At 35.5% G+C, this 14,039-nt stretch overlaps 1 protein-coding gene across 1 annotated transcript in view, besides 1 other annotated feature; it reads left to right on the forward strand.

The window, feature by feature from the left end:
- The window catches only part of PTPRQ (protein tyrosine phosphatase receptor type Q), a 236,039-nt gene that overhangs the window by 19,809 nt on the left and 202,191 nt on the right, over positions 1 to 14,039 (forward strand). The window contains exons 7-8 of the mRNA NM_001145026.2: positions 4,667 to 4,795; positions 8,062 to 8,208. Of these exons, the coding sequence (NP_001138498.1) occupies positions 4,667 to 4,795; positions 8,062 to 8,208 (276 nt within the window). The remainder of the gene's footprint in view (positions 1 to 4,666; positions 4,796 to 8,061; positions 8,209 to 14,039) is intronic.
- Positions 6,267 to 6,810: an enhancer, noted in NCBI's record as "OCT4-NANOG hESC enhancer chr12:80864089-80864632 (GRCh37/hg19 assembly coordinates)". NCBI's record gives its function as "activates a minimal SCP1, AML or CMV promoter by ChIP-STARR-seq in primed H9 embryonic stem cells {active_cell/tissue: H9 hESC(primed)}" and the evidence as "EXISTENCE:reporter gene assay evidence [ECO:0000049][PMID:30033119]".

Here is a 14,039-nt window from a genome sequence, read left to right on the forward strand (position 1 = left end):
AAATGCTCCAATTAAAAGACACAGACTGGCAAATTAGATAAAGAGTCAAGACCCATCAGTGTGTTGTATTCAGGAAACCCATCTCACATGCAGAGACACACATAGGCTCAAAATAAAAGGATGGAGGAAGATCTACCAAGCAAATGGAAAACAAACAAAGGCAGGGGTTGCAATCCTAGTCTCTGATAAAACAGACTTTAAACCAACAAAGATCAAAAGAGACAAAGAAGGCCATTACATAATGGTAAAGGGATCAATTCAACAAGAAGAGCTAACTATCCTAAATATATATGCACCCAATACAGGAGCACCCAGATTCATAAAGCAAGTCCTGAGTGACCTACAAAGAGACTTAGACTCCCATACAATAATAATGGGAGACTTTAACACCCCACTGTCAACATTAGACAGAAAGTTAACAAGGATACCCAGGAATTGAACTCAGCTTTGCACCAAGCGGACCTAATAGACATCTACGGAATTCTCCACCCCAAATCAACAGAATATACATTTTTTCAGCACCACACCACACCTATTCCAAAATTGACCACATAGTTGGAAGTAAAGCTCTCCTCAGCAAATGTAAAAGAACAGAAATTATAACAAACTGTCTCTGAGACCACAGTGCAATCAAACTAGAACTCAGGATTAAGAAACTCACTGAAAACCGCTCAACTACATGGAAACTGAACAACGGCTCCCGAATGACTACTGGGTACCTAACAAAATGAAGGCAGAAATAAAGATGTTCTTTGAAACCAACGAGAACAAAGACACAACATACCAGTATCACTGGGACGCATTCAAAGCAGTGTGTAGAGGGCAATTTATAGCACTAAATGCCCACAAGAGAAAGCAGGAAAGATCCAAAACTGACACCCTAACATCACAATTAAAAGAACTAGAAAAGCAAGAGCAAACACATTCATAAGCTAGCAGAAGGCAAGAAATAACTAAAATCAGAGCAGAACTGAAGGACATAGAGACACAAAAAACCCTTCAAAAAATTAATGAATCCAGGAGCTGGTTTTTTGAAAGGATCAACAAAATTGACAGACCGCTAGCAAGACTAATAAAGAAGAAAAGAGAGAAGAATCAAATAGATGCAATAAAAAATGATAAAGGGGATATTACCACTGATCCCACAGAAATACAAACTACCATCAGAGAATACTACAAACACCTCTATGCAAATAAACTAGAAAATCTAGAAGAAATGGATAAATTTTTCGACACATACACCCTCCCAAGACTAAACCAGGAAGAAGTTGACTCTCTGAATAGACCACTAACAGGCTCTGAAATTGTGGCAATAAGCAATAGCTTACCAACCAAAAAGAGTCCAGGACCAGATGGATTCACAGCCGAATTCTACCAGAGGTACAAGGAGGAACTGGTACCATTCCTTCTGAAACTATTCCAATCAATAGAAAAAGAGGGAATCCTCCCTAACTCATTTTATGAGGCCAGCATCATCCTGATACCAAAGCCGGGTAGAGACACAACCAAAAAAGAGAATTTTAGACCAATATCCTTGATGAACATCGATGCAAAAATCCTCAGTAAAATACTGGCAAATGGAATCCAGCAGCACACCAAAAAGCTTATCCACCATGATCAAGTGGGCTTCATCCCTGGGATGCAAGGCTGGTTCAATATACACAAATCAATAAATGTAATCCAGCATATAAACAGAACCAAAGACAAAAACCACATGATTATCTCAATAGATGCAGAAAAGGCCTTTGACAAAATTCAACAACCCTCCATGCTAAAAACCCTCAATAAATTAGGAATTGGTGGGACGTATCTCAAAATAATAAGAGCTATCTATGACAAACCCACAGCCAATATCATACTGAATGGGCAAAAACTGGAAGCATTCCCTTTGAAAACTGGCACAAGACAGGGATGCCCCCTCTCACCACTCCTATTCAACATAGTGTTGGAAGTTCTGGCCAGGGCAATTAGGCAGGAGAAGGAAGTAAACGGTATTCAATTAGGAAAAGAGGAAGTCAAAATGTCCCTGTTTGCAGACGACATGATTGTGTATCTAGAAAACCCCATCGTCTCAGCCCAAAATCTCCTTAAGCTGATAAGCAATTTCAGCAAAGTCTCAGGATACAAAATCAATGTACAAAAATCATAGGCATTCTTATACACCAACAACAGACAAACAGAGAGCCAAATCATGAGTGAACTCCCATTCACAGTTGCTTCAAAGAGAATAAAATACCTAGGAATCCAACTTACAAGGGATGTGAAGGACCTCTTCAAGGAGAAGTACAAACCAGTGCTCAATGAAATAAAAGAGGATACAAACAAATGAAAGAACATTCCATGCTCATGGGTAGGAAGAATCAATATCATGAAAATGGCCACACTGCCCAAGGTAATTTATAGATTCTATGCCATCCCCATCAAGCTACCAATGACTTTCTTCACAGAATTGGAAAAAACTACTTTAAAGTTCATATGGAACCAAAAAGGAGCCCGCATTGCCAAGTCAATCCTAAGCCAAAAGAACAAAGCTGGAGGCATCACACTACCTGACTTTAAACTATACTACAAGGCTACAGTAACCAAAACAGAATGGTACTGGTACCAAAACAGAGATATAGATCAGTGGAACAGAACAGAGCCCTCTGAAATAACGCTGCATATCTACAACTATCTGATCTTTGACAAACCTGAGAAAAACAAGCAATGTGGAAAGGATTCCCTATTTAATAAATGGTGCTGGGAAAACTGGCTAGCCATATGTAGAAAGCTGAAACTGGATCCCTTCCTTATACCTTATACAAAAATCAATTCAAGATAGATTAAAGACTTAAATGTTAGACCTAAAACCATAAAAACCCTAGAAGTAAACCTAGGCATTACCATTCAGGACATAGGCATGGGCAAGGACTTCATGTCTAAAACACCAAAAGCAGTGGCAACAAAAGCCAAAATTGACAAATGGGATCTAATTAAACTAAAGAGCGTCTGCATAGCAAAAGAAACTACCATCAGAGTGAACAGGCAACCTTCAGAATGGGAGAAAATTTTCACAACCTACTCATCTGACAAAGGGCTAATATCCAGAATCTACAATGAACTCAAACAAATTTACAAGAAAAAGCAAAGAACCCCATCAAAAAGTGGGCGAAGGACATGAACAGACACTTCTCAAAAGAAGACATTTATGCAGCCAAAAAACACATGAAAAGATGCTCACCATCACTGGCCATCAGATAAATGCAAATCAAAACCACAATGAGATACCATCTCACACCAGTTAGAATGGCAATCATTAAAAAGTCAGGAAACAACAGGTGCTGGAGAAGATGTGGAGAAATAGGAACATTTTTACACTGTTGGTGGGACTGTAAACTAGTTCAACCATTGTGGAAGTCAGTGTGGCGATTCCTCAGGGATCTAGAACTAGAAATACCATTTGACCCAGCCATCCCATTACTGGGTATATACCCAAAGGACTATAAAACATGCTGCTATAAAGACACATGCACACATATGTTTATTGCGGCATTATTCACAATAGCAAAGACTTGCAACCAACCCAAATGTCCAACAATGATAGACTGGATTAAGAAAATGTGGCACATATACACCATGGAATACTATGCAGCCATAAAAAATGATGAGTTCATGTCCTTTGTAGGGACATGGATGAAATTGGAAATCATCATTCTCAGTAAACTATCACAAGAACAAAAAACCAAACACCGCATATTCTCACTCATAGGTGGGAATTGAACAATGAGAACACATGGACACAGGAAGGGGAACATCACACTCTGGGGACTGTTGTGGGGTGGGGGCAGGGGGGAGGTATAGCTTTAGGAGTTATACCTAATGCTAAATGACGAGTTAATGGGTGCAGCAAACCAACATGGCACATGTATACATATGTAACTAACCTGCACGTTGTGCACATGTACCCTAAAACTTAAAGTGTAATAATAATAAAATTTTTAAAACAATGATTTCATAAGGGTCATACAAGGTGAAATTTGCTAGACAATAATTTTGTTTTGAAAAATATTTGGAATTGTTTTATTTCAATTAAAAGAATAAACATCTAAGAAAAATAGAGTAATTTAAAATGTCATTATTATTTTCATGTTATCAATATTACATTTGAATCCTCCAAATGTAGATTATAAATTTGTTCTTAGAATAAATACAAATATTGATACAAAAAGTAAAAATTATTTGCTCATAATTTTGAGGGTCATTTTCTTGAAACTTCTACCTGTGTTAATAAGAGAGAAAATGTTTATCAAGCCAGATATCCAGACTTTGTTCATCCAGACTTTGTTGAATGCAGTATATATATGCAGGTATAAATGTTTCAAGACAATGTAACATTGGCAATAAATGTATTACAATGAATATTAGAATGAAACTTGCGCAGTGCAATAGTAAACAGTATTAAATAAAATCAGTAATTGTTAAAAATAAGTTTATCTGATGATCCAGCATGTGTTATTCACAATTTTCAATTATATTCCATTTATTCTTTTTTAAGATAAAAAAACTCTGCTTTTAAGCGCGATATTTTATTTTCCTTCTTTGCCTTTGTGTTTTATTATGTGTATTTAATAGGGTGCGCTTTCATTTTAAATATATGTTATGTATTTATTTTCTATAATTATTTTAGTGCCTGAAGGACCACCACAAAACTGCGTAACAGGCAACATCACAGGAAAGTCCTTTTCAATTTTATGGGACCCACCAACTATAGTAACAGGGAAATTTAGTTATAGAGTTGAATTATATGGACCATCAGGTAAGCCTTAATTGGTTTTGTGTTTGCCTTTTGGAGTGAGAATAATAAAATATGTTACCAATATCAAACTCTGTTTAAAAGTATCAGACTCTTTTTAAAAGACTCTAAGATTGAAGCAAACAATAGGAAAGTCATAAGGAAGGGGAGGTCCTTTGATTTTTTAATTCAAAACCATAAATGAGTATAAGAATGACAAAACTATTCATGTTCCACATTTCATGTGATGCATGTGAAAAACTAGAGATAACTCCTCAAGAAAAAAGTGTTAGTGGAGATATACATCTTCAAATATTTGAACAAGAAGTCCTTGGCTTACATTCATGAAGAACAATGGACTTTGACTATATTAAATTAGATTTCTATTCACTGCTAGGAGCCTAGTTTTTAATCATTAGAAAGAGCTCTCTAAAAATAACATGGAAAATCTCTGTATCTTCTGCTCTATTTTGCTGTGGACCTAAAACTGCTTTAAAAAAGAAAACCTATTAAAATTTTTGGGCAGCTTTATAAAGTGGCAAGTTCTCCAACTTTGTAAGCAAGCAGGACCTGGGCATCCACTTGCCAGAGATACTTTGAGAGGATCAAGTATTATATCATTAGGATCAAGTATTATATCATTAGAAGTGAATTATGTAAAGTCTAAAATTCTCTCCTGATTGAGAGCCTCTGATTCTATGAAAGAAGTTTAATTCTAACAATGATGAGATAAATAATAAAGCCACATATTATCATTTATTTGGGGGCATCAAAAAAGATACAGAGTTCCAACTCATTTTATTTTGCAATTTCTGTGGTATGAATCACTCATCACCATCATGAGTAACCTTTATCTTTCATCCCTAAGTAACTTATGCTCCTAAAATTCTGAAATACTTTTACTTCCTAAAAAAAGATAATTCCCTCCACTCACCCATCCGATACACAGAAACAGACATGGATACACAGCTACATCTTTTCTGTCTGACATTATTGTTCAATACTTGGCTGAAGTACTCTTTCATTTGTAAGGCTGGCTGATAAATCAAGTGAGAGGCATGTAGCAATAATTGCATTTAGCAACATGGGAGTGATCACATGCTTTCAGTATGGTGGAACATGTGGGGTAAATACATGATTGAATTAGTTTAAGAGTGAATGGGAGAAGATCATTGGAACAATGGGTGTAGAAATTCTTTTGAGTTTAGCTGCAAAGCAAAGCAGTGAATAGAGAGTAAGGGTAGGGATAAGTGAAGTCAACAGGTCTCTTCAGTAAGAACATATAAAGCATGTTTGTTTGCTGATGGAAATGAGGAAAATAAGGAAAATGTTAATGATATAAGAAAAACGAGAATTACTGGAAAGGTGTCTGTGTGGGCAGAAGGTGAGATCTTTTGCTCAAATGTAGCCATTGGTTTGAGATAAGAATACAGATAATTTGTCCATACTAACAGATAATTTGTCCATAAGTTGTTCTTATAGGTTGTAAGGCAGAGTATATGGGTGTAGATGCTGGTAAATATATAGTTGTGTTGGTGGGAGCCTGTGGCAAATATTTTCTAACTGGTTTACCTTTTTCAGTGTAGTGGGAAGCAAGACTATTAGTTGGGAGTGAAGATAGGGCAGAAGGTATTAGAGGTCTGAGCAGAGAAGAGTAAGTGTAAAATAATCTTCTAGAAGAGTAGAGTGATTGGACCATTGACTATGTAAGTTGAGTAAGATTCCAGGCACCATGTAGGGCTCATTCAAGGTTTGGCTATGAATAAAGTGACATCAATTAATGGCTTTGTGCTGTAAATGAGCTGCCTTCAACAACAGAAGGGCGAGGGAATTGGAGGCCTGTGTAAGGCAGTGATTATAATTGAAACTGACACTGAAGATGGGTAGAGTGGAAATCAAGTGGTGAGGGGCCAAATAAAATAAAACAAAAATAAAATAGGTGATTAAATCAATGGATTGTTGATTTCAGTGGATTTAAAGAATTATCAGTTCAGAATTATAGAGGAAATGTAAAGGAAGTAAGCAAAAGTGGTTAGAAAAAAGTTGCATGAAATTGAGATTCTTAATGATACGGAGTAATTGGTGATAGTAATGTCCAAGTTATGATCTTGAGGGAGTGGCTGAAATTCTGAAAAACTAGATTATTTAAGGAAATATCTAAGTAATTTAAGGATTAAGTCTCAGGATATTAAAATCAGCACAAATTAAGATGGTAGCCTTGAACCAAAGCTAGACCATGAAAGTAAATGAGAGTAAATGACCCTCAGGTTAGTAGATTACGACAACTGTGAGGGCTAGTGGATTTCACTGGTGATACAGTATTTAAAGCTGTGGGCTTTTATAAGGAGGGAGAGAGAATAGTAAATAAAGTGGAGCAATGAGGAGCAAGGACAACACCTACCACACCTAAAGGCCTGGTTACTTGAGAGCTGTGGGGCAAAAACAGACTGCCACCATTTGGGGTGGCTGCAGGGGAACAAAAACAGTGTTCTCAGGAAAGAGCCAGTTTGTAGTTAGAGCAAGAAGGTAAAGGAAACATTTAAAGCAAAGTCGAAGATTTAAAGTATTGTGCTGACAGACTAAGGAATTTTGTTCAGAAGCTAAACTAGAAATATTTTCTAAATATATCCTCTTATAGAAGATAATGAAATTATTTAGCATTTTTTTTTTTTTTTTTATTTGAGACAGAGTCTCGCTCTGTCGCCCAGGCTGGAGTGCAGTGGCGGGATCTCGGCTCACTGCAAGCTCCGCCTCCCGGGTTCACGCCATTCTCCTGCCTCAGCCTCCCAAGTAGCTGGGACTACAGGCGCGCGCCACTACGCCCGGCTAATTTTTTGTATTTTTAGTAGAGACGGGGTTTCACCGTTTTAGCCGGGATGGTCTCGATCTCCTGACCTCGTGATCCGCCCGCCTCGGCCTCCCAAAGTTATTTAGCATTTTAATTGAATAAATTTGAGTATAAAATCTGGTCACTTTTTGAACTGATAAAATTTGATGCTTCCCTTTTCAATATGTCAAAAATAACCTGGTAATTCAAAAAGGCTTTATGATTTAATAAAAGTCATTTTAAGCACTGGAACATTTTCATGTTCTTTCATTTATTTTCATTAAATTGATATCAGTGCACTACTAAGCCACATGTTTAAAATATATGCAGTTTTGATATTATAATAACAAATTTTAGTGCATAGGTTAACACTTGAATTGTTGTCTTTGGCTCTGTACTTAAATGTGAACATGATTGCACGCTTGATAAAAAATAATCCATAGCTATCTTCCACTTTTTGCAGGTCGCATTTTGGATAACAGCACAAAAGACCTCAAGTTTGCATTCACTAACCTAACACCATTTACAATGTATGATGTCTATATTGCGGCTGAAACCAGTGCAGGGACTGGGCCCAAGTCAAATATTTCAGTATTCACTCCACCAGATGGTAAGAACATAGGGAATGAGTGAGATATTTTTGGTATGCTTATGAACTTCATGAATTGGTAAAACATGATATTAGAAGCAATTTGTTTTACATTTACTTAAATCATGTTATTTCCTTATTAAATTACTACCTAATTCATTCTGAACATGTGTTCTCCAGAATGTTAAACTCATAGCATGCTTCATAATAAAAGGGACCCAAGATCAGGTAAGGTTAGGAAATATCATATGTAGTATTGGCCTGTTAGAGATTCACAATAAAATTTAGCAAAACCTCAAGAAGTCATAAGGTAAACAAACACATTTAGTATGGTTTAACTACATTTTTAAATGTGGAATCTATTTTTTCTCACAGAACTAGTATTTAGAAGAATTCCTATACTCCCAATTCTTTCAACAAAATATGTTTATAATCAAAACGGGATTCTAAGCAAGTGAAGATTCTGAGTGGATGTATGATATAGATTTACCAGCATTTACTGAAATTATGAAAACATTATTTTTCCTCAAGAAACTTCCTTATAAGTATTCATTAAACATCATTGTTTTAGGTGAACTATACTTTAAAAAGAATGTTTCCATACTATTTCACAACATATCTTTCAGGCCCACACTGAACTTGCTAAATGTCTTAATTTCTATTTAGGGATTGTAATTATGGACAAAAATAACAGTAAATTCTTATAACACATTAACACTTGGAAAAGTTTCCAGACTTTGTTTGTGTGGAAGCTAACATACAGTAACTTATAAATGAAATGTAGACATGTATACACACACACACACTCACACACACGCACACACACACACACACACACACACACACAGGTCATACATTCATCGTTCAAGCGTTTGACCATTAGAGGGCAGTAACTATTAGGAAATTTTGTACTTCTCCCCTTTAAAGAAACAACCATTGATATTTTTTTGAAAGAACATAAAAGTTACGTTTTATCTATTTCAGATGAAAATCCTGACATATATATAGTTTTAGAATACATATAAGAAAGTTGTACATACTCATAAGGAAAATGTTCTTTTTTTGTATTAAAATTTTACCTTTGTGTTTCTATCAGAAGAATCCTAGCATTGTGTAGCTTCTTCCTTAAATCTTAAGTTTTCCTCCATCTCCACCTAAAAACTGCTCTTAAGCATGTCCTAGGAAACTAGACAGATTTATGGACACTATCAAATAAAGCAGAGCCCTTGATTTTGGTCTTAATAGAGTTTTCTCAACCAACTCAATGTACCTATTGATTTCTATTCTTGTTATACAATTAAATACATCCTGAACTATTGTCTTCTTTCAAGACCAGCTGATTTTGGTGCTTCCAAATAGAATCCACAACTCAATAAACATATTTTTATTGTCATCATTCTTGGACTACAGCATGTGACAAAAATAGGGAAATAGATAATGCATATGCTGTGTACAATGTCATGTTATTTGTCTTGGATTATTTTAAAATTTACTTGCCTTAATTTCTACATTTTTTATCCACAAAAGAAGTAGAATCTTCAGGTCATAGTTCAGTATATTTCACAAGGCCTATTTTTCACACCAAATCATTTTAAGTAGATGACTCCATTTGCCCTCTATAAAAAGCAATTTGTCCTGTGTTTCATTCTGTTATCTTCCTGAGTCACTCCTCCTATAGATCACACCCTGGTGGGTCTTAGAGGGGCCTCCTGGCAACTGGTGGGTTCCACCAAAGGCAGGGTTGGCATGGTTCTTATATCCTCATGTCAGCCTTCATCCATGGAGTTCTCTTGGGATAGTTCAGCCACAGGAGCTGCCTCAATGGAATACTCTGGCAAATGCAGTAAATGTAGCTTTCTACTTCTGACACCACTAATTAATCCTGGTTTCAGTATTTAAAACTTTGAAATAAATGGATCTTTAAACTATATGAAAACAATGTGATAACTCATTAGAACTATCTTTCAATTTAAAAATGATTTCTTAATTTTATATTATCCTTTTCATTAATACAACAGGGTTTTTAGTATTCTAATTAAAGTTACTTAATTTAATTTCTTCTCCATATTTTAAACCAGTCTATCATCTATTTAAAAAATAATTAGGACTAGTTTGCTTCTTTTAAATTACCTTTTAAAACAATTGGTGCTCTTATAAATCTCCAGATACTCATAGAAAAATGTTGCATTGACCTCTTATAGAGAATGTTATGTGCTATTACATTACAGTGGAGTTGATTTCATTACCCCTGGGGATGTTACGGTCCATAGTCTACTTTGAAAGAAAATCAGCATCCTATTATTTTAGCAGTTCTCTTATGTATTTCCTAAGCCCTCTATATGTCTCTTAATATTTTGATGAGTAGATTTCTGCATAGGCATGAAAATAAATGATTTTGGAAAAAAAAGATAATAATCTCCAAAGCTATAAAATGTCATAGAGTTGCCTATTCCAAAATCAGATAATGCTGATGAATATAACATAGGCAACAGCATTCTTCTAAATTGTGTGAGGGGTAAAAAAAATAAGCAGACTGTGATGCTTCAATATTGTCTAACAACTTTTCTGTCAGGGTAGTTTAGCATGACCATTTCTTAAAAGCAGACAAATTTCTGAGATTCTTGTTTACTCCCTCTTAAACAGACTATGGCAGTGAAGACGTTTGTCCTCAGTGATTTAAACTTGTTACTTTCTGCAAATAGTAGTAAAATCTTTGCAGGAAAATAACTGAGAGCCTGCCAACTTTGTGTTTTCAGGATTTGCAATGGCTTTAATTTTTACTACTTGTTTTTCAAAATATACTTCTAAAGAAACTTTAATTTGCTAGATAATGGCAAAAATGATCTTAATGTATTTTCTTTTACCTCAATGCTGTTTGTCTCTATTTCATTTCTTCTCATAGTTTTTCATTTGAACACTTCAAATCATTTGGAATATATTTTAATAAATCATATGCTATTGTGTTTCTAATGCATTAGTAAAATTTATAAATATATTAACTCGAGAATAATTCTTAGGTAGTCCATGTATATAACACCTTCAAAATTAAAATTATTTTGCCATTATCTAGAAAATTCATCATCGAGCAGCATTAATTTTGAAGTTGGAGAAAATGGCATTGGGGTAAAGAAAATGTGAGATTTTTTTGGCCAAATGTCTAACTTATTTCTCATTTATTTGTAAAATTTGTAAATGTATCGACTTGAGAATGACTCTTAGGTATTTCCTGTGGACATCACCTTCAAAACTGATGCTGAACCATGAATAATTGAGTTGTGTGTTTGATTTTCTTTAGGTAATTTTGTATCAATATTAAAGTCTTCTCTAGTTTCCCCATAAGAATTTGTGGTCTAACAGATCAAGTATCTTTTTAAAGACAAGATACAATGCTGTTGACTCCATTTCCTTTATCCCCTAAGCTTAAATAGGAAAAAAAAGATAAGTTTATAGTCATTATTTTTATGCAAGTTTGAGGTACATTTTAAGGTAATATAGAACCACTTAATCTTTACCTGGATTGTAATTTTTGGCATTAAGTATCATGGGGCAACACTTACTAAGAAAGTAAGTATTGAATATATAGAATATATAGAAATATATATGCTAATTAAAAGATAAAAAATAGTGTCTGCTACTACTCTTGGTTTCACTAGCAAAATAAGAGACAGTAAAATATATATAGTTTTCTGCTGTCCTGCATAATATTTGATATCTAACACATTAGTGTGTTGCGTTGACTTGAACTGATCATTTCACTTATCTTTCAATAGGCAGGGTTTAGTTGCCTGATTAATATGATCAATGTAGTCATTAGCTGTTTTTTTTTTTTCAGTTGAGATTCTACATCAGTTCAAAATAAATGGAAAAAGTGCCAGATCTCCTCTGACTTAAGTTATGCAATACTGGCTATTGTTTTGTCTGCATAAAAACTGCAAAATAAAATTTTAAAAAGAGATGGAATAGGAGCTTTGCTATTTAAATAGCCATGTTATTTTACACCACACAATTAATTGGAAAGTTTCTCCACCCTTGAAAAATGCATATTGGTAAATTGCATATTGGTAAATATGATGATGCAAACATGAGCTCTAGGTACAATATATTTTAGTGAAATAAAACTCATACTAGAGGTGACCTGTGCAAAGGGCTTTATCTGTCTTATTCCTTCCTCTGTCCTCAAGTGCCTAGAACAGTGATCATATGATCAATGCTCAGTGTGTTGAATGATGAATGAATGGCCCAACGATTGTCACAATATCTAGGGAGTCTTTACCGGTTACTTCATGAAGACAAAGGAAAAAACTCAATCTATTGGATGAAAACTTTGTATAGTCATAGTTACTATAAAGCCAACTTAAGCATAATTATATTTGCTCATTATAAATAACATATATGGGAGTTATAAAATTATTTTTCAATTCCTTTCTGTTGTCTTAAAAAGAAAGGGGGTCATTTTTCCTTTGTTCCCTTTTAAGACTATATGCCTGTCTTCTAACTAGAATTTGCTAAACCTGTACCGCTGCCAGAGAGTTTAGGGAAATTAACTGAAAGTGTAACAACAATCTGATAATAAGGGATCATAATTTTATGCCATTTTCTCTTTCTTAAAAGTTTTAGAAATTTGAGAAATTTTCTTGAACTCTTTGTTCCTTATAGTAACCTGTATAGTAATAGGAAAGCTATAATGACACCCATTTTATAGATAAGGAAAGTAGAGGTTGGAGGGATGCATGAGCTATTCATAATCACAAGTTGAACTGTAAATAAAAATGATCAAAAGCCCAGGGGATATTTGTTTTTTGCCCGTTACTCCTGTGAAACTGGGAAGTTCCCTAGATGTCACTCTTAGTGACTTTACAACTAGAACTTGCTTTAAGTTCTTGGTACTTTATTTTAAACCAATTGTTAGTTTGTTCCTATTTTTATTTACTATTGCAATGAGTGAGGGCACCTGAAATTTGAAAATAACATGATTATTTTTAAAATATCAGAAAAAAATCAATCAACTCTTCAAACAATTTCATGTAATAAATTAAAACGCAGTCTAATTTAACTTACCAACTATATTTAATTGCATTCAGAGTCTTCTGGATATTAATTTTCAATCTGTTGTTATAATTTTTATGAAACCATCAAGATTTCAACTGGCATTAATTATCACCAAATAGGCAGATTCTCAAGAAAATTATTTTTATTAATTAATTTGTTTCAAACAAATGTTATGACTTTTATTTTGGAAAATTATTCTGTTATTCTGCTCCTTACTTACATTTCGAGAACAATGTTTAGAAATTTAGGCAAGATGGCCGAATAGGAACAGCTCCAGTCTACAGCTCCCAGCGTGAACGACGCAGAAGACGGGTGATTTCTGCATTTCCATCTGAGGTACCGGGTTCATCTCACTAGGGCCAGACAGTGGGCGCAGGTCAGTGGGTGTGCGCACCGTGTGCGAGCCGAAGCAGGGCGAGGCATTGCCTCACTCGGGAAGCGCAAGGGGTCAGGGAGTTCCCTTTCCCCTTGTCAAAGAAAGGGGTGATGGACGGCACCTGGAAAATCGGGTCACTCCGACCCGAATACTGCGCTTTTCTGACGGGCTTAAAAAACGGCGCACCACGAGATTATATCCCACACCTGGCTCGGAGGGTCCTACGCCCACGGAGTCTCGCTGATTGCTAGTACAGCAGTCTGAGATCAAACTGCAAGGCGGCAGCGAAGCTGGGTGAGGGGCGCCCGCCATTGCCCAGGCTTGCTTAGGTAAACAAAGCAGCCTGGAAGCTCCAACTGGGTGGAGCCCACAACAGCTCAAGGAGGCCTGCTTGCCTCTGTAGGCTCCACCTCTGGGGGCAGGGCAC

This window comes from Homo sapiens, chromosome 12, assembly GCF_000001405.40.
Source record: "Homo sapiens chromosome 12, GRCh38.p14 Primary Assembly".
In the NCBI taxonomy this organism is placed as follows: Eukaryota; Metazoa; Chordata; class Mammalia; order Primates; family Hominidae; genus Homo; species Homo sapiens.